This window comes from Homo sapiens, chromosome 4 (genome assembly GCF_000001405.40).
Source record: "Homo sapiens chromosome 4, GRCh38.p14 Primary Assembly".
Taxonomy (NCBI): domain Eukaryota; kingdom Metazoa; phylum Chordata; class Mammalia; order Primates; family Hominidae; genus Homo; species Homo sapiens.
Genome location: NC_000004.12, coordinates 4,504,532 through 4,525,269, shown reverse-complemented (window position 1 = coordinate 4,525,269; position 20,738 = coordinate 4,504,532). Strand labels below are relative to the sequence as shown.

The window sequence follows — 20,738 nt, the reverse complement described above, 5'->3', positions numbered from 1 at the left end:
TTAGTCACCTCCTTATAAATAACCCTTCAACAAGTTAAATTGCCTCTAGGATTTGCTTTCTCCAGATTAAATTATCCCAAAGTCTTTTCTTTTTTCTCATAAAGGCCTTTTCAAAAAGAAACATTGGTTACTTTTAAAATTTCTTTTTCTAGCTCTTTATAAAACTTTATTCTTTTCATAAATGTACCACAGGATACCCCTATGTGGGCCTGACTGATGCTGTCTGGAATGGAAAGCTTTCCTTCCACATCTGGAATCTCATTCTTCTATTTTGTGTTGTACCTTGTTAGCTTCTTTTCTTTTCTTTTCTTTTCTTCGTATCCTATCAAATTTAATTTGCGGTCCACTCTCACCCTCTCCCTGTTTGTCTCCTTTTTCTGTACATTTCTTCAAATGTGTGGCTTGATTTTCTTCCCATAAACACTAACTTGCTTTATCAGAAGTCTTACTAAGGTTATAAGTTACAGAGAATCCAACACAAATTAGCTTAAGTGATCAAAGGAATTTATTGATTTATATCACTGAAAAGTCTAGTGGTATGACTTAACCTCTGGCATGGCTGGACTCGGTGAACCAAACAGTGTCACCACAGGCCTGGTTTTTCTTACTCCCTCTGTTCTGCCTTGCACACACAGTGTTGGCGCCTTTAAGGCGCCTCTAACGCCCTTGCTTTGTGGCAGCCACTGAGCTGCAGCACTTGCAGGCCTCACTTTCTCATAATGCCCCCTCTGGAGGAAGAGAGAGGCTCTTTGCTTGACTGGGTTTCACTTTCTCTTACTGGCTCAAATTGAGTGATATTCTTATCCTCAATCCACTCCTGTTGCCACTAAAAGGATATACTGCCTAGCTTGGTCCATTTAGGACCCAGCTCTGCATCTGATGCAGTATGTTACTTCCACCCAATACATTTGGCTGAGAATCAGGGACGAATTGTTTCCAAAGGAAATTTGGGGAGCTGTTCCCAGAAGGAGGGGAGCAATGCATGGGGGTGGCCAACAAGAGATGTACATTGCATTCAAAATTGTGCCCATTCACTCTGCTTTAGGCATTATAAATACCACTTTGAACTGAAGGTATCTCTGAGAATGAATTATTTATTCACTTACTCATAGTCACTTACTGTTAAGCACCAACTATATGCCAGGCATACAACTAGGTTAGGTATTAGGTGTACAAACGTGAGTGAGACAATGTCTGACTTTGAGAAACACATAATCTAGGGAAAAAAATAGACTTAGAGGCACATAACTAAAGCATGTTCTAATAAGTGCTGCTATCAAAGTGTCTGTGGACACAGGTGGAAGTGAAGAACTCAGTGGGAGGGGTTAAAGGGAGAGGGCATAACAGGAGAGGTGAGTTTTGAGTTAAGCCTTGAAGGGTAAAAAGAGATTCCCCTAGAATGGGAGAGGAATGGCATTATCTCGAAGGCCATGGTGCACTAGAAAAAGTTTTCAGTAGGGGACTAATGTGGTTAGGTATGTATTTGAGAAAGATCATTCTGCTGGCAGTTGGTGGATTCGGCAGAGGTGAGAAGGACTGGCAGCAAGGAGGAGGACCAGTTGAGCTGTTGCAGTAATCAAGTCTAGTCAAGATACAGCAAGGACCTGAACTCAGCTCGTTACTATAGAGCTAGGGAGTAGACTCGATATATTTGAGAAGAGCTGGGACTTGTTCAATGTAGGAGATGTGAATCAGTGGTTATAGATGACTTTGAGGTTTTCATTGTGATAGGTAGGTAGTTAAGATGAGTTCAGGTTTGTAGTTACTTGAGGTGCCTGCTGAACACCCAAGGGACACGTTTCCCAGGCAGTTGTAAATATAGAAATGTACTGGAGGAAAGATTTCTAAGCCAGGAATTTAGACTGGAAAAGACATCAGAATGTAAATGGAGATTGAAGCCTTGAGGAAAGAGTGGGATCACCCAAGGGGAATTTCAAGTCAGAAGAAAAGAGGGCCTCAGAGTAGTCCCTGGGAAAAGACTACATTTGAGAAGCCAGCAGAGAATAAGAAGTCTGAGGAGGCAGCTATGGAGAACGTAGGCCTGTGGATCCCTCCAAGTAATAAGCTTGTTTTTACTTGGATTAGAGGTAATGTCACCTGGAATGATTTGTGCCATGATGGTTAAGAGCATGGACTCTGGGCTCTACCACCTCCTGCAACTGATCTGTGGATAAAATATTTAACCTCATTTCCTCATCTATGTAATGGGAATAAAGTAGTACCTAATTTTGGAGAATTAATTTGAGTAAAGCACCTTGAAAGTGCTTAGCACATAAGAAGTGCTATAGAATGTTTGATAAACACATACGCCAGTAAACACATGTGTTTGTACATTTCTGTCTCTCTGCACTCACATAGCTGCTGGCCAGTTAATCTGAAATCCAAAATTAGTTTATTTGTACTTAAATAATTTGATTTTCTGGAAACTCTGCTAGTTCCAATGCAACAATGCAAGTATCTTGACTTCTTGAAGGTTTTCCAGATTATTTGCTGGATTATTTTTTTCTACTGATGATTAATTTTACCTCTGACTTTGTTATACTTTTCTTTGTTTCTTCCACACTTCACATATTTTTTATTGTTCCTAATACTTTATAGCATACAGCTTTTATTTATTTTTAAAATTTACTTTCTCAGAATTATTCCTAAAGTTCTGGAGTGCTCTGTGAGTTGCTCCTCCACATTTCGGTCAGTTTCTAGTGTGTTACTTTTAATCAGGCTAGTTTTCTCATGCATCTAAAGGAATTGGCAATATTCTCAACTCCTCCCCATTATGGTCAGGGATATGAACTTACTGTCTTCTTCTTTCATTTTCCCAAGTAAATGTCTTGAACCACTGATTAGATCTGTGTGCCCACAATAACATAAGCAGGCACGAAGCTTAAATCTGATTTAAAGGAGAGGGCTGTATAGTCTATTACTCCATTACGTTTTTTTAAGTGTCTAGATTAAAATAGATCAGTATTCAGGGTGTGAGTATATTGCTAAGTCTCTTAACACTCATTGAACCAGACGTCGTGTGTGTTCATTTTTAAATGATGGGGTGGATTACTTTTATATTTATTATGAACACAAACACTGATGCTAACAACTGACATGTGAAAGGAAAGCAGGCAATAGTGATGAAAACCATTTAATGATTAGTGAGGAAACAAATATTGTTTAATGAAAATAAAAACCATGTCTAAAGGGCCTAATGCTGACTTTTGGAAATATAACCATGTTGCGGTCTTTTGTGTACCCTCTGTCCTGTACAGTAGATATTGTTTAAAATTGCTTGGGAACTGGAGCTTGCAATTGTGAGCCTGGAATGTCCTGCAGATAATTAAGTTGTGGTCAGGCTTTGGAAAAATAAAAAGTTCTCGAACTATGATTTTATAAACATGCTACAATAACATTTCTTTATATTTAACAGTTTCTTATAGAAAGTTGATACTCTCATGAGGCATTGATTAAAGGTAAAACATCAAGAAAGAAAAAATATTAAATTAAAACTTCACTTAGGATGTTGACAGTTGGCTTGTAATATTAAACAGATGTGTATGTTCCTGGGGATATTCTTCTTTCTGAACTGAATTGCTAAGTTGTATTTTTTTTTTAATGACAACTACAAATATTTGATCAGTTAATAATTTTAAATACCCTTTCTACAATCATCTGTATTCTAACTTCATCTGTAGTTTGAGCCCTCTCAATGATATAATGATTGGTGAAACCTTTGCTGCCTCTTCTTAAGTCTTTCATTTTCTTTCTTTCTTCTTTATCCTCCCCCGCTCTAAAAGCTTAACTGGGCTCTTCTGATTTCATGATGCATACTTGGAGATTGATTCCTTGAAATAATTTTAGGATCATTGGGTGGAATTCTACCCTTGCAGATTTATGTCTGTAGTTTACTTCCCTATAAGCTTCACTTTGGCATTTGAGTGCATAAGCTGACCTACATTGTGGTATTGTGTTTGTGTGGTCAATTGTAAAGGCTTCATAATACGTCTGTATAGCCAGCCATGCAGATCGGCCTGTACCCCATGCTGTGGGGCCAAAGAAATGTCAGTGAGGGGACCTAAAGGAAACCAGGCCTTGGAGTCAAAAGAGATTCAGTAACTTTTTCTTTTTGCCTATGAGGATTTTGCCAGACTTTTGCATTTTATTGGACAAATAACAGAGTCTAGTGAGAGCTGTAGAGTGGGTTGGAGGGGTGGGTTAGATGGGTGAGTAGTCTTTGGTAAATGAAGTCAGGTGGGATTTTGTAGGATGTGGTGAAAATGTTTTTCATCTTCAAAGATTGTTCAAGTCTTTTTGGAAGACTAGATAAATTGTACAATGTTGTTTTTGGGATGATGAATTTTTTTAGATACTAAAGATCATTTTGATTGTAAGTCTTAAACATGTGGACATCTTATGTTTTCTGAAAGATATATTTCACTAGGCAGGAGTCTTTGATTAACCTGGAGGAAGTTTTGTTGCTTTGAGTACATTTATTTATCTTGGAACTATGTATTGTTTGCACAGTCTTCTTTTTGGAATCAGTGTTTTTTTTTCTCTGCAGATTCCATTTGGGAAGCTTTGGTTTGGGGCCTTAAGTATATGGAAGGCATTTTCAGTAAACACAAACAAAGGCCAGCTAGACTGTCTGAACAAGTACAACGATGTATTTTATAATACAAAACTTTAACTTCAAGAATAATGAATTCATTTTTAATAGCACATTATTTAAAAGTGGCTATTTGTTCTTTACATCTAATAGTATAGCTTTTTAGGTATCTTATTCCTTTAAGTCTGATATAGAAGCAAAAATATTTAAAGTGCATTTTTATGTGAAAGGATTTGATGAGTTCACATTTCATGTCTTCAACTTTTGTTCTCTAGCTCACTGTTTTAGAATTGCACTTATTATATTTTGTGTGTGTGGAAGGAAGGAGACCAAATTTCTGTGTACAGTGTCTTAACAGATTTAATCGAATCACTGCCATATTCTCCTGGAATTTGAGATACTCCTTAACAGCACCCTATTGGGAAAGAGTTGGGATCTTTGAGCTATATGCAAAAATACTATTTAATTTCAGCATAATTCGTTATGAGCAACCATTTTAATGTAAGAGTCTGAAAAGCAATAAAATGTATCTGTTAAGGTTTGTACTAGTTAGCTTGTTTCTGGGCTTCATGTTTATTTCACTTCAATTCTCTTCCAATGTTTTACTGTGAAGGAATGTTGCAAATATTTTAAATCATTTGTTGTAACTGGAATTTGTAATTATGAACAGGTTTAAGTAGAAAATGCTGTTTTGTTTTACTGTTATTACTGCATCATAAGATAAATGATATTCTTTTATAGATATTTTGGCTTGGCTCACCAATCCTAATTTCAGTATCATGCCTGACTTAGCAATAAACTGCTGCGATCAGCTACAGGGAATTGTATTAGGCAGGCTTTATTTTTCTGTATCAGTGTGGTATTGCAGTTTCATCCACCTTTAAGTTAGAAAAGCATGGTTTTAGTATTTCAATTTTCTTGTTCAATAATTCTACCATGGGGAAACAGAAAGTAGAAAGTTTTCCAGAGTAGATGATGATTTAACAACTACACCATTTGAACTAGTCGTCCTTTTAAAATCTCATTTGAGCATTCCCTTTTTTGCCTATATAGTGTTCAGTTCTTCTCAGCTGTTTTACAGCTAATGATTTGGTTCTATTAGGGAGAAGGTAATACATGCTTATTTTCGCAGCATGTTAATTCTATTAACTGTTCAGTAACTGACTCGGGAATGGAAGGCACCTATTGGTCCCTAGTGGTCTGAAATGGGAAATGCATTCCCTGAAAATTTCATTAGGACTTTCCATAAAGCTTAACATTTGACTAGAAACAAAAATGTTAGTAGCTTTAGATAGATTGATTAGGTTATTTAAAGTGTTCCTTGAGCTACAGATGAAGTTAATAATTTTCTTAATCTCTTATTAAAAATAGATGAACTACATATAAAAACTTCAGTCCTAGATTAGCACCTGTATTTCAAGTCATTTAGGGAATGGTGGAAAACTCTGTAAATGCTTGTGTGTTAAGCATATTGAGTAAACTGTCAAGATTTTTCTCTTTGTCATCTTTTTGTCAGCTTTATCATGCTTAATTTTCAAGAAAATAATGTGTTTGTTACTGTGGTCACACCGTGATTTTGCATTGGCTTATGTATGATATTTTATTGTCTCTGTCCTAGAAAATTATAGCAGTTTTTATGAGGAGTGGTTTGTGGGTTCACACAACCCACTTGGAGTGCCATTTACTACAATTCTCTTCTAAAAGAACCATAAAACATCATGTAAATTGTTTAAAAAGGGAAAGACCTTTTTCGAGAAAGGCTAAGAAGAAATCTTTCCAGGCTTTCTTTTGTTTCTTATAGTCAGTTTTATGATTTTAAGCTCCCAATTTATTTAGAGCGTTAATGTCATAAAATAAAGTGCACGTGTGTATAAGTAAACCGTTGTGAGCTAGAGCTAGGCTAGAACTGGGTGTTGTTGATGCAGATAATATCAAATTCATTATTTTATAATCTTTTAAGATATGTTTTCTGTGACTTTGGAAATGAAATTAAAGAAATTAAGGAAGAAAGGAAAAGAGAGAGGAAGGAATTAATTTATAGCTTGTATATCTTTTTTTTAAAAACCCTTATGTTTTCTTAAGTAGTGATGTGTTTATAATCTACATTAAGGCACAATTTTTGGTAACCAGTCCTGTGAAACTCACATTTAAATTCACAAATAGATTTACTTAGAGAAACTTTCCTCCCTTAGGAGTTTTACCATTTAGATTGGCTTGTTGCACTCAGTTTGTATACACCCTTTCGAAGAAAGAATTAAACAGCACAATAACAAGGCCAAAGTTCTGTCATAGTTTTCTATACAAATGCCTTATTCTGATATTATCTTGGCTTTGTGCATGAGCTCTCAGGAGAGTAAGGACGAACATTGTTAATAATTTTCTACAACATTTACATGGTTCTCTGTGCTTTTAGTCACTTAATACAGGTATATCTTACGTTTAACAAACCGTTATAAGAAAATCCACATATATCTGAAATATAAATTGGGGCAGTTGTTCATTTTGCATAAAGATTTAACACATTTATAATAGATTTAAGTTTTAAAGCCACTTCCTTAGCACATGCGAGATCATTATATTTGCAACATTTTATAAGAACACATATAGGCCGGGTGTGGTGGCTCAAGCCTGTAATCCCAGTACTTTGGGAGGCCAAGGCAGGCGGATCACAAGGTCAGGAGTTTGAGACCAGCCTGGCCAACATGGTGAAACCTCGTCTCTACTAAAAATACAAAAATTAGCCAGGCGTGGTGGCAGGCGCCTGTAATCCCAGCTCCTCAGGAGGCTGAGGCAGGAGAATCGCTTGAACCCAGGAGGTGGAGGTTGCAGTGAGCCAAGACCACACCTACACTCCAGCCTGGGCAACAGAGCGAGACTCCATCTCAAAAAAAAAAAATAAAGAAAAAAAAAACACTTATAAAGGGAATGATGATTGCTATATTCATGTAGGTAGTGATATGAACATTTGTCTCTGTAAAATATTATCTTCTTTTGAAATTAGTGGTTTTTAAAAACACAAGATTATCTGTGTGGTTTAGAAACTCCTTGGTTTTATGACAGGAAGAGGTTATAAATAAATCACGTTTATGCATTTTGTAAAGAGTGTTAGTAAAATTGCTAGATTTTCTTGAACATGGTTGTAAATCTTTTTGTTTTAATTATAAAGCTTTCTACATACATGTGTGACTTTATGAAGAATGTCAACTTAGGTTTTAATTATGTGACTGTAAATTCCCCTTTTCCTTCTGTGTGAAAACACAACACCAACAAGAAACCAACTTCCTAAAATATACAAACTTTTTGGGATTATTCTTTATTCTACACTGTCTTACTATTTTTATTTTTCTGATGTTGGGGTGTTTCTATTTAGTATCACAGTAGCTAACTGAAGTAAATTTTGGGAATAGAAAATGAAGCTATAATTGGAAAGGAGATTTTGAAAAAACAGAAGCACCTAATGTCATGATGTGGGTGGGAATCAGGGGAAGAATGTACTGACGAGCCCCAATACCGCTGGTTCAGAACAGCCCTGGGAATTCTATAGCTGTTTTCCAAAGGATTGTTTGATACAGTCGGGAGCTCCCGTGACCAAATCTAAAGCCTGAGAACCAACTTTCTGTGATAAAGCATACTAAGCAAAGAAGACTCTGTGGCATTGTAACCGATGCTACTGAGTATGCCACAAATGTTCATACAAATTTTGTGTATAGCGCTATTGCATAAATCGTTTTAATATGGGATGTTTGGAAATAAGATAGGTACTACACTGAAGGGACCAAATACTGAATTCTCCAAGTTAGATACTGTTTTTCACTATGAATTTATAATATGTTGTTATATAACAACATCATTGTTACTGCAAGTGATACAAAATGTTATGTTTGGAGTTTTTCTCTTTTTTTTTAGATTGGAAAATAGTTTTAATGTTAGCACAGACAAAATATTTCCTATTTATTTATAGTTATTAAATAAAAATGCATAGCACGTTAGTCAAGAATGTATTGTTTTATAAATTATTCAGTTGCAAGTATCTAAGATTACTTTACTTACAACTTAAATGCAGAATGTTGATGTTTCCTTGTTTCTGTTTTTCACTTGAGTCAGTTAGAAAATATTTTTCATGGACTTTGTATATAAGCTAAAGATTTTTTTCTTATATGAAAATCATCAATATGGCCAATTCCTGTCGGAAAAGAGGCATAATTTTTCAATTTTTTCCTCCAAAACTGCAACTTCAGAAAATATGTACGAGATGTAGCAATTAACCTACATGCACATTTATAATACTAGAAAATAGGCAGCTAGTTATATTCAAAGACTGGATCTGATAGGCCCAAATTGCTTAAAACATCACAGTTATTGAAGATATACCCCAGGGAATTTGAGAAACCATTTAACAGATGAAAGTACATTTTGAAAAGTCTGACCTTACAGGCAATCATAAAATGAATCAAAACAGTGCTTTTTTCCCCCTGAAATGTACAGAGCCCATCTGTGTCTAATCCAGTAATTATAGACTGTGTTCAATTACCTTTTCAAACTTGGAGCAGACTGGAGACTAGGCAATGAACAAACATAGGGTTTTGTCTAGACCTCAATTGACCACAGTCTAAAAGTTGAATTTATATCTAATTTTATTTTTTGTTTGGTTTGATAGTTCTTAAAGGATTCATTTTTGCTACTTGGTGTTTTACCTTCTTAGATTTGAGGTACTGCCTTTTCTCATCACAAAAGCTTTTGTATCAGCTATAGCTTATGCTGTAATCAGATGCTGTTTTCGGAATACTTACTCTTGCCTGCAAATCAATAATTTGCACTGCAGAAAAGACTGCATGGGGTTGGGGAGGGGATTTTACCAGTGAGTAGTATTTTTTTAAGTAGCCTTTAAAATGTTGCTGCTGACTATAACTCTTTTTTATGTGCTAGGAAAAAATAATTTATTTTCCTCTTAAATTTAGAAAACTATAGGTAATTTCCAGTTGGGTTGTACACTTAATGTCTCCAAAAATACATGTAGACTGCTAAAGCACGTGTGTCTCTCTTTTGTCAGATGTCTTATCGTTTTTTTCTAGGTACACATTTTTATTGCATTTACTAATCAGACTGGTATCCAGTATAAAATACAGTGTATAGTATTCAAAGTCCATTTCAAATCGTGTCTCTTAATAAAGTCAGTTTATGATCTGATGAATCTTTAAGTGAGAATTAATTACCATGAACCACCACAGCCAGTTCAAAGTATTTAAATTTTATCCAGGAACCTTGGCTATTCAAGTTTTTCTTAAAACACAAAGCAAACAAAAGATGACCACAATTTTTAGAACTGCTTATGTGGTAGTCAAAGTTCTTTTTTTCCATTATTTAGTATTTACAGTTATTCACATTACAATTATCACTGGAAACAAATGTTTTGAGGTATTTATTAGAAGTAATCATTGCATATTAGACCATGAATTTTTCTAGAAATTTTACAACCATTCCTAGTATATTATATTATTATTTTTTAAAGTTTTATTCATTTAGGTCTCACTATCCTTTGGAACTTTTAAGGACTTTGTCATTGGGGAGAGAAGCAGTTTTATTTGGTTGCATGAATGTACTTTCTGAGAATTATATGGAGAAAGTGAAACTTAAAGAGGATTACAAGTACCTTATGTTGAATGTTTTCATGAGACATTTACTTGTGAAACTTGGATAATATGATTTCCTTCCCTCCTTCCTGTCCCCATAGTTTATGGAACTATTGTTATAATTAGCCTCCATTGTATGCTTCTTAGGATCTTCATAGAGAAGGCAAAAGATTAGTCTTCCTAACTAGGAACTTGAGAGACCCTTTGGATCCTCTCTCATATACCCCCTTATCTGATCCAAAGAAAGAATTCTCTAGTCTTTTTTTTTTTCCCACAGACCAGAGGCCCCTCCTAGTTCCTGCTTTCATTACCTAATGTATGGGTACCTCCTTTGGTGGTTTGGATTTTATATTCTCTGATTAACCTGTTTATGCCACTTTCACTGGATTGTAAGCTCCTTCGGATCAAAGACTAGATGGATGTTATCCTATCCTATTGTATTACTGCTTAAAACACAGTGCCTGGCTTGTGACAGGCACTTGCTCCTTGTTGACCAAATGAGGACAGAGTGGATCATCCATTCGGAATCTTAGTATTGAAAGGTAGGAGTGAAGAATTTTTAAAAGTTAGTAGAAATCACATCTAAATAACATATAACTCTCTTTTTTGCCATAACGAAATAACTGAAAGATAGAACTTTTTAAAATTTCTCACTTTAAATGTTTTTAATGAGACCAGTGAGAGAATGAATTTTATTCATGAAGTCTCCATTTTCCATTGAAGCTGCACTATCTGTTGCTGTGCTTAACAAGTTGATAGCTTTACTTATGGCAATTTTTATGGAACTGCTTTCTCCATCTGCAGTGAGAAGACTGAGAAGCATTTTTCTGATTCATATATCTACGTGTATCCTTTTCTTCATGATTCTTGGAGAAGCCTTGCAGAAATAGTCAGTAAACAGTATTGAATACTTACTACTTTCAAGGTGCCGCTTGATACAGTGAAGCCATGATATACAAGTCCTGGCCATGTGGATTTTGAAGTATGTGGTTGATGTCATGTCTCCTTTAGGCTGGATTCTCTCCTGCAATGGAAGCTGCCCTCTCGAGTTCTTTCTCCAGTATTGACTCTTAACGTAATTACATGTCCTTACCCCCGCTAAGGACGTCAGTGTCTTTATCACACCCCTGCCCTCAGGTTAAAAGGGGAAGAAATCACATCATTTATAAAAGCAGTGATGGAACATCAGTCTTTTTAAGAAAAAAATAGAAGTTTATGATTGTCTCATCACAGTCAACTGGCAATTCATTACTGCAGTAGCAAGGAGATATCCCAGACCTCTGGCTTTGCTGTCAAGATTGAGTGCTGGGGTAGTTTTTACTCAGCATTAAAGATTTCATTGGCCATGCTGTTTTGTCGGGTATCTGTTTAAGATGTAGCAGTGTGATTTTTACTAACCTGATTTTAGAGATTTTCAGTGTGTCACATTTAAATAATCTACTTTTGAAAACAGTAGTGTCTATTTGAGTATGTTGCTCACCGGGGAATGTGGCCTCTAAAAGCAACCATAAGATCCAAGAACAGAGCAGTGAGGGCCATGACCATTAGATGACTTCCACGAAGCAGTCTGTGACTCTGTTGGTTGAAATCCCCCACACTTTCCTTTCCTTCTTCAAACCTGTTTCTCTATCCTTTGGTTATGATTGGCTCCTGGCTGGATAAAGTGGTGCTGCTTCTGGGATAAAGCTGTAATCAGGCGCTTGAGTCTACTTCTACTGGAAGATCCCAGATGAATGGGAAACCCCATGAGCTCTGGCTTGCCTAAGGCAAAGCTGAGATTTGAGATCCAGGCCAGACGAGGGTCCCCCCCTCTATCAGAATCTCCACTCTCAAAGTACAGGTACTTCTTTACTTAACATAGAACCGAATTTCTGAGGTTTCCTAAAGAGACAACCAGGGAAGGATTTCCTGTGTCTGTCTCCTCTCATTCTCTGGGAAGTCTTAAAATTTTTCAGCTTAGACTGCTTCCTTCTTTAAATTCTAAATTGAATACCCTTATGTCCGTTTGATATGTATATTATTATTATATTCCTGGATTTTATTCTTGAACCCAGTTGGAGTTTCAAGGCAAACATTTGGTTTTCTGTCAGCCCACAAACTGAGCAATGGTTGGTCAATTATGGTCTTCTGTTGACTGAGGCAGAGTCGCATGTTAAAAGTATATTTTATTAATAGCCCACAAAGCATACCAACTGCCAGCTTTTTGCCATGTCTAACTTTGAGCAATATTTAGTAACAATATTCCCAGTTTTCATCTGTGGGTTACTTAAATGTGTCATCCAGGAAGTCACTGTAAGATACGTTGGTGAAAAAGCCTTCAAGCTTAGATATTGTGTATTCTGCTTACCTGCTTACCAACTCATGCTTCCCAGAGTACCTAACTCACAAACGTGCCTCAAATGCAGAAAAGCAAATCTAGTTCAGTATTATACAGGACTGGTAATGTCCTGGCTGTTTGCTCTATGGTGTGCTTGTTAATCAGCAGTAGATGATTGTGGCACATACCTATTCTTGGTCCTGAAACCACCCTTCTGTCAACAATAGTGCCTGCCTTCTTCCTGGGAACTCATCCCCACTCTGGCTTCAATCAAGTGGTTTCAGTACAAGCTGCTGTGTTTCCATAGTATCTTCTACTCTCTAGGTCATGGACCAGGGGTAGCAACCAGACTCAAATCAGGCCAATCAGAATCCTTTCCTAAGATTTTTTTTTTTAATTGGAATTAGGAAAAAGAATTATTCTTAGTCCAGAGGCCTGGATTTCAGCAAACAAAGCTCGGGAGCTGTTGGTGGCCAGTTTTCATTGCTGAGCTGCAATGAGAAAATTAAGGCTAAAATGCAGACAAAACAAGTAGGAGTTAAGAGAGTTCTAGAGGAGTTTTAAATATCTGGTTTAGTTGTTGCAGAGGCTAGCTGTATCCTTGCCGTTCCCATCTTTTGATCATTTAAACCAGTGGCTCGTGCAATTTTGCTTCTAGGGGATATTTGCCAATATCTGGAGACATTTTTGGTTATTACAGCTAGGGGGCTACTACTGGCATCTAGCAGAAAGAGGCCAGGAATGCTGCTAAACATTCTACAATGTACAGCTCTCCCACAAACACCCCCACCTCCGCCCCCAGACAAAGTATTATCCAGCCCAAAATGTCAATAGGGCTTAGGTTGATAAAACCTGAACTTTAACCCATCCTTCATACATTACCTTAGTATTTTTCAAATCTCCTCTCCTTCTGTTTTGGAAAGCTAGCTAGAATTAGTTTATGCTTAAGAGGACCTTAACCTAGGGGCATACACACACACACACACACACACACACACACACACACACACACACACACTAATCATGAGTGTTGTTTGGTGATTGTATGTATTTTCAGTCCCATATTTAAGATTTTTCAGTTTATAGCTGCCCTAGTATACAAATACGCCATCACCCAGGTTTAGAAGGACTATTGATTCCCCTACCACATAGATTCAAATAGCTACTTCTAGACTGCCTTGGGTACCTAAACAATACATATTCCAAACTATTGAAGCAAAGGCTATTCAGAAATTGCTACTAGGATTGCATCAAAATTATGCTGTCCTCCCTAAGATTTGTTTTACGATTAATATTCAACTCATGTATTAGAGATGAAATCACTATTTTTAGGAATGATTATGATAAAAATCAAGTGTTCAGTTTCATAGAACAAAACATAGCTGTCATATGAAGTCCTTGATAAAGCATTGCTGGCACAAGGAACTGTGAGAGTCCACATTAGCGTAGGCTGGACAAGCTGCATTCCTCTTTGAAACTGTCAGAATGCATTGTACCTTTGATTCATCTTCCAACCTACATTCAAGCCATGGCATGGATTTCTTTTTTTAAATGTTTTAAATTTTACTTTAAGTTCTAGGATACATGTGCAGAATGTGCAGGTTTGTTACATAGGTATACATGTGCCATGGTGGTTTGCTGTACCTGTCAACCCGTCATATAGGTTTTAAGCCCTGCATGCATTAGGCGTTTGTCCTAATGCTCTCCCTCCCCCTTGTCTTCCACCCCACAACAGGCTCCAGTGTGTGTTGTTCCCCTCCCTGTGTCCATGTGTTCTCCTTGTTCAATTCCCACTTATGAGTGAGAACAAGTGGTGTTTGGTTTTCTGTTCCTGTGTTAGTTTGCTGAGAATGATGGCTTCCAGCTTCATCCATGTCCCTGCAAAGGACGTGATCTCATTCTTTTTTATGGTTGCATAGTATTCCACGGTGTATATGTGCCACATTTGCTTTATCCAGTCTATCATTGATGGGCCTTTGGGTTCGTTCCATGTCTTTGCCATTGTAAATAGTGCTGCAAAAAACATACATGTGCATGTGTCTTTATAGTAGAATGATTTATAATCCTTTGGGTATACACCTAGTAATGGGATTGCTGGGTCAAATGGTATTTCTGGTTCTAGATCCTTGAGGAATCTCCACACTGTATTCCACAATGGTTGAACTAATTTACACTCCCACCAACAGTGTAAAAACGTTCCTATTTCTCCACAGCCTCTCCAGCATCTCTGTTTCCTGACTTTTTAATAATTGCATGTCATGGATTTCTTGATGGACAGATTGATGAAAAGAATGTTAATGAATAACTTGACAAGGAGGATCTGAGACATGTAGCAGGTACCTGCAGTTAATCACCTAGATTAAGACCCAGATTTAAGATTACTTATATTTTACACACAATCTTTTTTTCTTAACTTTCTTTGACTAATTTTTTTAAAAAACTATGACTGGGGATGATCTGTGTTTCTCTTCCTCTGCCTTCCTCCATTGCTTTGGTTAAACTAAAATTAAACTAGCAGAGTATTTTGTGAAGCTGAGTTTCTCTTTGTGTCTCTCTCCTTTGCACACAGTTGACACATAGTAGGCACCCATTATAAAATGCTCATAAAACGATGCGTGGTGATTTCCTGCAGCCCCCTAGTTCTAAATATTCTCTGTAGTCCAGAAACTCCCAGATTTATATTTCCAGGTCAGACCTCTTTGAAACCCTACACTTAGAAACATCTATAGTTGTCTACCTACCTGACATTATTTCTGTTACCTGAGTATCTAATAGACAGTCAGTCTCCTTGCTGTTCTTCACGCATGCTTGATACACACCTGTCTTAGGGCCTTTGTACTTATTGTTTCCTCTCCTTGGAATGATTTTCCCTAAGTATTTGCCTGGAGATACCTGCCTGCATAACTTTTACTTCTCCTTCAAACATTTTCTTATATGTCATCTTTTCAGTAAGTTCATCCTGACCACCCTGTTGAAAATTAGAATTCACCTTTTTCCCTACACTCTTCCTAGATTTCCCTTACTTTGCATTACTTTTGCTTTTTGTCCCGTAACACTTTCACCACTTACCATACTTTGTTAACACACTTATTATTGATTTTAATATATTGATTATACTTATTATTATTTGTCTAAAATATGGCTGGATTGTAACCAAAACCCATGATCATTTAAATTAGGGTCTTTCGACTCCAAGTTAAATTTTTGTTACAAGACAGCCTTTTTGTCACAAGAATGGGTGAAAATTTTCGTAATCTATCCACCTGGCAAGGGTCTAATATCCAGAGTCCACAAGGAACTTAAACAAATTTACAAGAAAAAAAAAACCCTTTAAAAAGTGGGCAAAGGACATGAACAGACACTTCTCAAAAGAAGATATACATGCAGCCAGCAAACATATGAAAAAAAGCTCAGCATCACTGATCATTAGAGAAATGCAAATCAAAACCACAATGAGATACCATCTCATGCCAGTTAGAATGGCGATTACTAAAAAGCCAAAAAACAACAGATGTTGGTGAGGTTGCAGACAAAAAGGAATGCTTTTACAGTGTTGGTGGGAGTGTAAATTAGTTCAACCATTGTGGAAGACAGTGGCAATTCTTCAAATAACTAGAGGCAGAAATACCATTTGACCTAGCAATCCCATTAGTGGGTATCTATCCAAAGAAATATAAATCATTCTGTTGTAAAGATACATGCATGCATACATTCACTGCAGCACTATTCACAATAGCAAAGACATGGAATCAACCTAAATGCCCATCAATGATAGACTGGCTAGAGAAAATGCAGTACATATACACCATGAAATACTATGCAGCCATAAAAAGGAACACGATCATGTCCTTTGCAGGGACATGGATGGAGTTGGAAGCCATTATCCTCAGCAAACTGACACAAGAACAGAAAACCTTATAACACTGCCTGTTCTCACTTATAAGTGGGAGCTGAATGATGAGAACACATGGACACATGGTGGGGGAGCAACACTCACTGGGGACTGTCGAAGTGGGGACTAGGGAGAGGGAGAGCATCAGGAAGAGTAGTTAATGGATGCTGGGCTTAACACCTAGGTGATGGGATGATCTGTGCAGCAAACCACCACGGCACATGTTTACCTATGTAACAAACCTGCACATCCTGCGCATGTACCCCAGAACTTAAAATAAAAGTTGAAGAAAAAAAATTGTTTGTTGTTACACAGCAGCTCCTTCTTGTTAACTTCAAAATAATCCTGACATTTTAGAATCTGGCACTCCTGGTCTCCAAGTAACAAACTTCTCATGTATATTTTATATATAATCTTTGTGCAACACACAAAAAAAAACAAGATTTTCACCAGATTTTTGGGATCCTCTCAAGTGAAATATAGGATATATGCCATAAATGGGAGGCAAGAAGGGACAGTTCAAAGAGATAGGTTGTTGTATTCTAGAGAAGCAAAAACGGGGGATATGTGGTGAGGTCCACATATGACATACTTAAGACACCATGAACAGACAAAAAACAAAAACAAAGTAACAGTGGTTTCAGATATGAGCCCTAAGTTGAAGTCCTAAAAGCAGGTGCTTTTCACACGGGCACTTCAGTGTCCTGTGCACTAGGGGGAGTGTCAGCCATGATCCATTTTATTTAATAGTGATTAATAATTCTCCTGAGCAGTGATGGAAGGCCAGCTAGTGTTGAAGTTAAAAACATCCTATAATTGGACTCAGAATACCTTTTACTTTTGTGTTAGGATAGCCAAGGTCATTTGTTCTGAGGTCGCCTCTGTGGCATGGTGACCGATCAGTGGTAAGCAGGCAGTAAATACGGAATGCTTCCTTTCTAGGCTAGAACATAAGGGACTAGGAAACTCGTATATTTTTCTAGCTAGCTGCCGCTTTTTAACTTTTTTTTTTTTTTTTTTTTTTACTGTGAATATATTTTATTTAGTCATTTTTGTTTACAATTGAAACTCTGGGAATTCAAAATTAACATCCTTGCCCGTGAGCTTCTTAGAGACACCAGAAAAAGTTTCAGTCTGTGTTCCACGTTGTTCTGCTGGGCTTTGTCCAAACGAACCTTTATGAGCCGGCTGCCATCCAGTTCACGTGAATTCTCTTGCCCACAATTTCGCTTGGGAAGATCAAGTCCTCAAGGCTTGCGTCGTGCACAGCTGTCAGAGTGCACTCCTGGGACGCTTTTGCTTATTTTTTGTGCGGCTTTTTCGAATTGGCTTAGGCAGAATTCTCCTCTGAGCGATAAAGATAATATGCTTTCCACTGAACTTTTTCTCCAGTTCGCATACTAGCCGGACTTGGATTTTCTGGAAAGATTTCAGTGGAGGAACGGGAACAAAGATTGTGATAGCTTTCTGACCACCACCAACTTCAATTTCCTTGGCTGCCATAATATTCAGCTCTGTGAGCTGAGCCTTGAGGTCCGAGTTCTTTTCCAGCTCCAGAAGAGCCTGGGAGATGCCGGACTCTTTATAGTACACTGTAAAGTATGGGTTGTTTACCCTCATAATTGCATGGCTGACTGAGAGCTGCTGCTGAGCATCAAGAGGGAGTGTCATGCCGTCTTGTACTGTGTTGCTAGCATTCTTTGGAACTCACCTGGCTTCTTGCCATTGGGCTTCACGATCTTGGCGCTCCAACTGAACATGGCCTTCTCCTTGCTGAGCACTGGCTTAGGAAGAGCTGCTTTTTAAAAATTTAAGTGTTATTTGTAGATTAGCATACAGTAAGCTTGACCTTTTTGCTAATACAGTTCTCTGAATTTTAGCATTTTATGTACAATAGTCCCATCCCCCATGTTATCCACAGTTTAATTTTCCAGTTTCAGTTACTCATGGTCAACTGTGGTTCGAATTTTATCCTCTCACTTCATCACAAAAAGAAAGGTGAGTACAGTACAATAAGATACTTGGAGAGAAAGAGACCACATTCACATAACTTGTGAGAATTCTTCTATTTTATTATTATTGCATTTATTCTCTAACTCTACCTAATTTGTAAATTAAACTTTATCATAGGTATGTATGTATAGAAAAAACATAGTATCTATAGAGTTCAATGCTATCCTTGGTTTCAGGCATCCACGGGGGGTCTTGTACTCTCTCCCTGTGTGTGTATGTGTGTTTTGTATAGCCATTTCCCTATTAGGATGCAGAACAGTTCCATCTCCCTTCAGAAACTCCCATGCTGTCCGTTTGTGGTCACACCCACTCCCGTGAACCCACAAACGGTTCTCCATTGCTATAATTTTGTCTTTTCAATAACATCATATAAATGAGATCATATATACCCTTTGAAACTGACTTCTTTTAGTCGGCATAATGCCTTTAAGGTTGATTCTAGATGTGTGTGTATCAATAGTTCCTTCTTTATTACTAAGTAGTATCCGTTACATGAAGTTACTACAATTATCTATCACCTGTTGAAGGACATTTGTGTTGTATCTAGTTTTTGACAATTATGAATAGAACTGCTACAAATGTTTGTATACAGATTTTTGCATGAGCATACATTTTCATTTCTCTAGGGCAAATACCTAGGGGATTCCTAAGTTATCTGGTGAGTGTATGTTTAATGGTATAAGAAACTGCCTGTACACAAATGTTCATAGCGGCATCATTCATAATACTCAAGTAGTGAAAACAATCTGAGTATTCATCAACTGATGAATGGATAAATAAAATGTATATCCATACAATGGAATATTATTTGGCAATAAAAAATGAAGTACTGGTACCTGCTACAATATGGATAAACCTTGAAAATATGCTAAGTTAAATTAAAAAACAGGCACAAAGGGCCACTTATTGCATAAGTCCATTTACACATGGTCTCCGACTTACTAAGGTTCAGGACATGATTTTTCAACTTTCACAGTGCTGCAAAAGTGATAAGCATTCAGTAGAAACCATACTTCGATTTTTCGTTTTTGTTTTTGTTTTTTGAGACAGAGTCTCTGTCACCCAGGCTGGAGTGCAGTGCTTGATGTCAGATCACTGCAACCTCCACCTCCCAGGTTCAAGTGATTGTCATGCCTCAGCCTCCTGAGTAGCTGGGATTACAGATGTGCACCACCATGCCTGGCTGATTTTTTTTTTTTTTTTATTTTTAGCAGAGATGGAGTTTCGCCGTGTTGGCCAGGCTGGTCTCGAACACCTGGCCTCAAGTGATCCGCCTGCCTCGGCCTCCCAGAGTGCTGGGATTGCAGGCGTGAGCCACCACACCCATCCCCATACTTCGAGTTTTGGATTTTGATCTTTTCCCAGGCTAGCAATGTGCGGTATGACACTCCCTCTTGATGCTCGACATCAGCTCTCAGTCAGCCATGCAATTATGAGGGTAAACAACCCATACTTTGCAGTGTACTGTGTTGCCAGCATTCTTTGGATATGATTTTGTTCAACTGTAGGTAAATACATCTGTAAGTGTACTGAGCACACTTAAGGTAGGCAAGGCTAAGCTATGATGTTTGGTAGGTTAGGTGTATTAAATGCATTTTTGACTTCCCATATTTTCAATTTATTATGGATTTATTGGGACATAACCCCACGGTAAGTGAAGGAACTGCTGTATATGAAATGTCCAGAACAGGCAAATCCATAGAGTCAGAAAGTAAATCGGTTGCCCAGCACTGGGGGTGTTGGGGGAAATGGGGAGTGACCACTAATGGGTATGGGATTTTGGGGGTGATGAAAATGTTCTAAAACAGATTGTGGAAATATGATTGCACAACTTTCAAATACACTAAAAACCATGGAATTGCACAATTTAAATGGATGAATTGTTTGCTATGTGAATTAGGGCTCAATAAGGCTACTATTTTTTTTTTAAACAGCTACTTATTTTCTAAAGTGGCTGTACAATTTTGTGCTCCCACCAACAATGTATGAGAATTCTAGTTATTTCACATTCTCACCAACACTTGGTATTTTTAGTATTTTTTATTTCAGCTATTTTAATAGGTGTGTAGTGATACATCATTGTTAATTAGCATTTCTCTAATAGCTAATGAAGCCAAACATCTTTCATGTGCCCCCCTTGCCTTCTTTAGTGAAGTGTCTGTTCAAGTCTTTTGCCTATTTTTAATTTAGTTTTTTGTTTTCTTAGTTTTGACTTTGAGAGTACTTTATACATTCTGAACAACAAGTCCTTTGTCATGTGTATAATTTGCAAATATTTTCTCTTAGTCTCCCATT

At 37.3% G+C, this 20,738-nt stretch overlaps 1 protein-coding gene and 1 pseudogene across 4 annotated transcripts in view, besides 2 other annotated features; one reads left to right on the top strand and one right to left on the bottom strand.

The window, feature by feature from the left end:
- The window catches only part of STX18 (syntaxin 18), a 123,376-nt gene that overhangs the window by 17,074 nt on the left and 85,564 nt on the right, over positions 1-20,738 (top strand). The gene's annotated exons all lie outside the window — the stretch shown is intronic.
- Positions 2,947-4,130: an enhancer, noted in NCBI's record as "VISTA enhancer hs746". NCBI's record gives its function as "enhancer in: branchial arch[4/7]" and the evidence as "EXISTENCE:transgenic organism evidence [ECO:0001131][PMID:17130149]".
- Positions 17,136-17,225: an enhancer, noted in NCBI's record as "active region_21229". NCBI's record gives its function as "activates an Ori minimal core promoter by ATAC-STARR-seq in GM12878 lymphoblastoid cells {active_cell/tissue: GM12878}" and the evidence as "EXISTENCE:reporter gene assay evidence [ECO:0000049][PMID:35858748]".
- RPS7P15 (ribosomal protein S7 pseudogene 15) lies at positions 17,454-18,225 on the bottom strand (annotated as a pseudogene).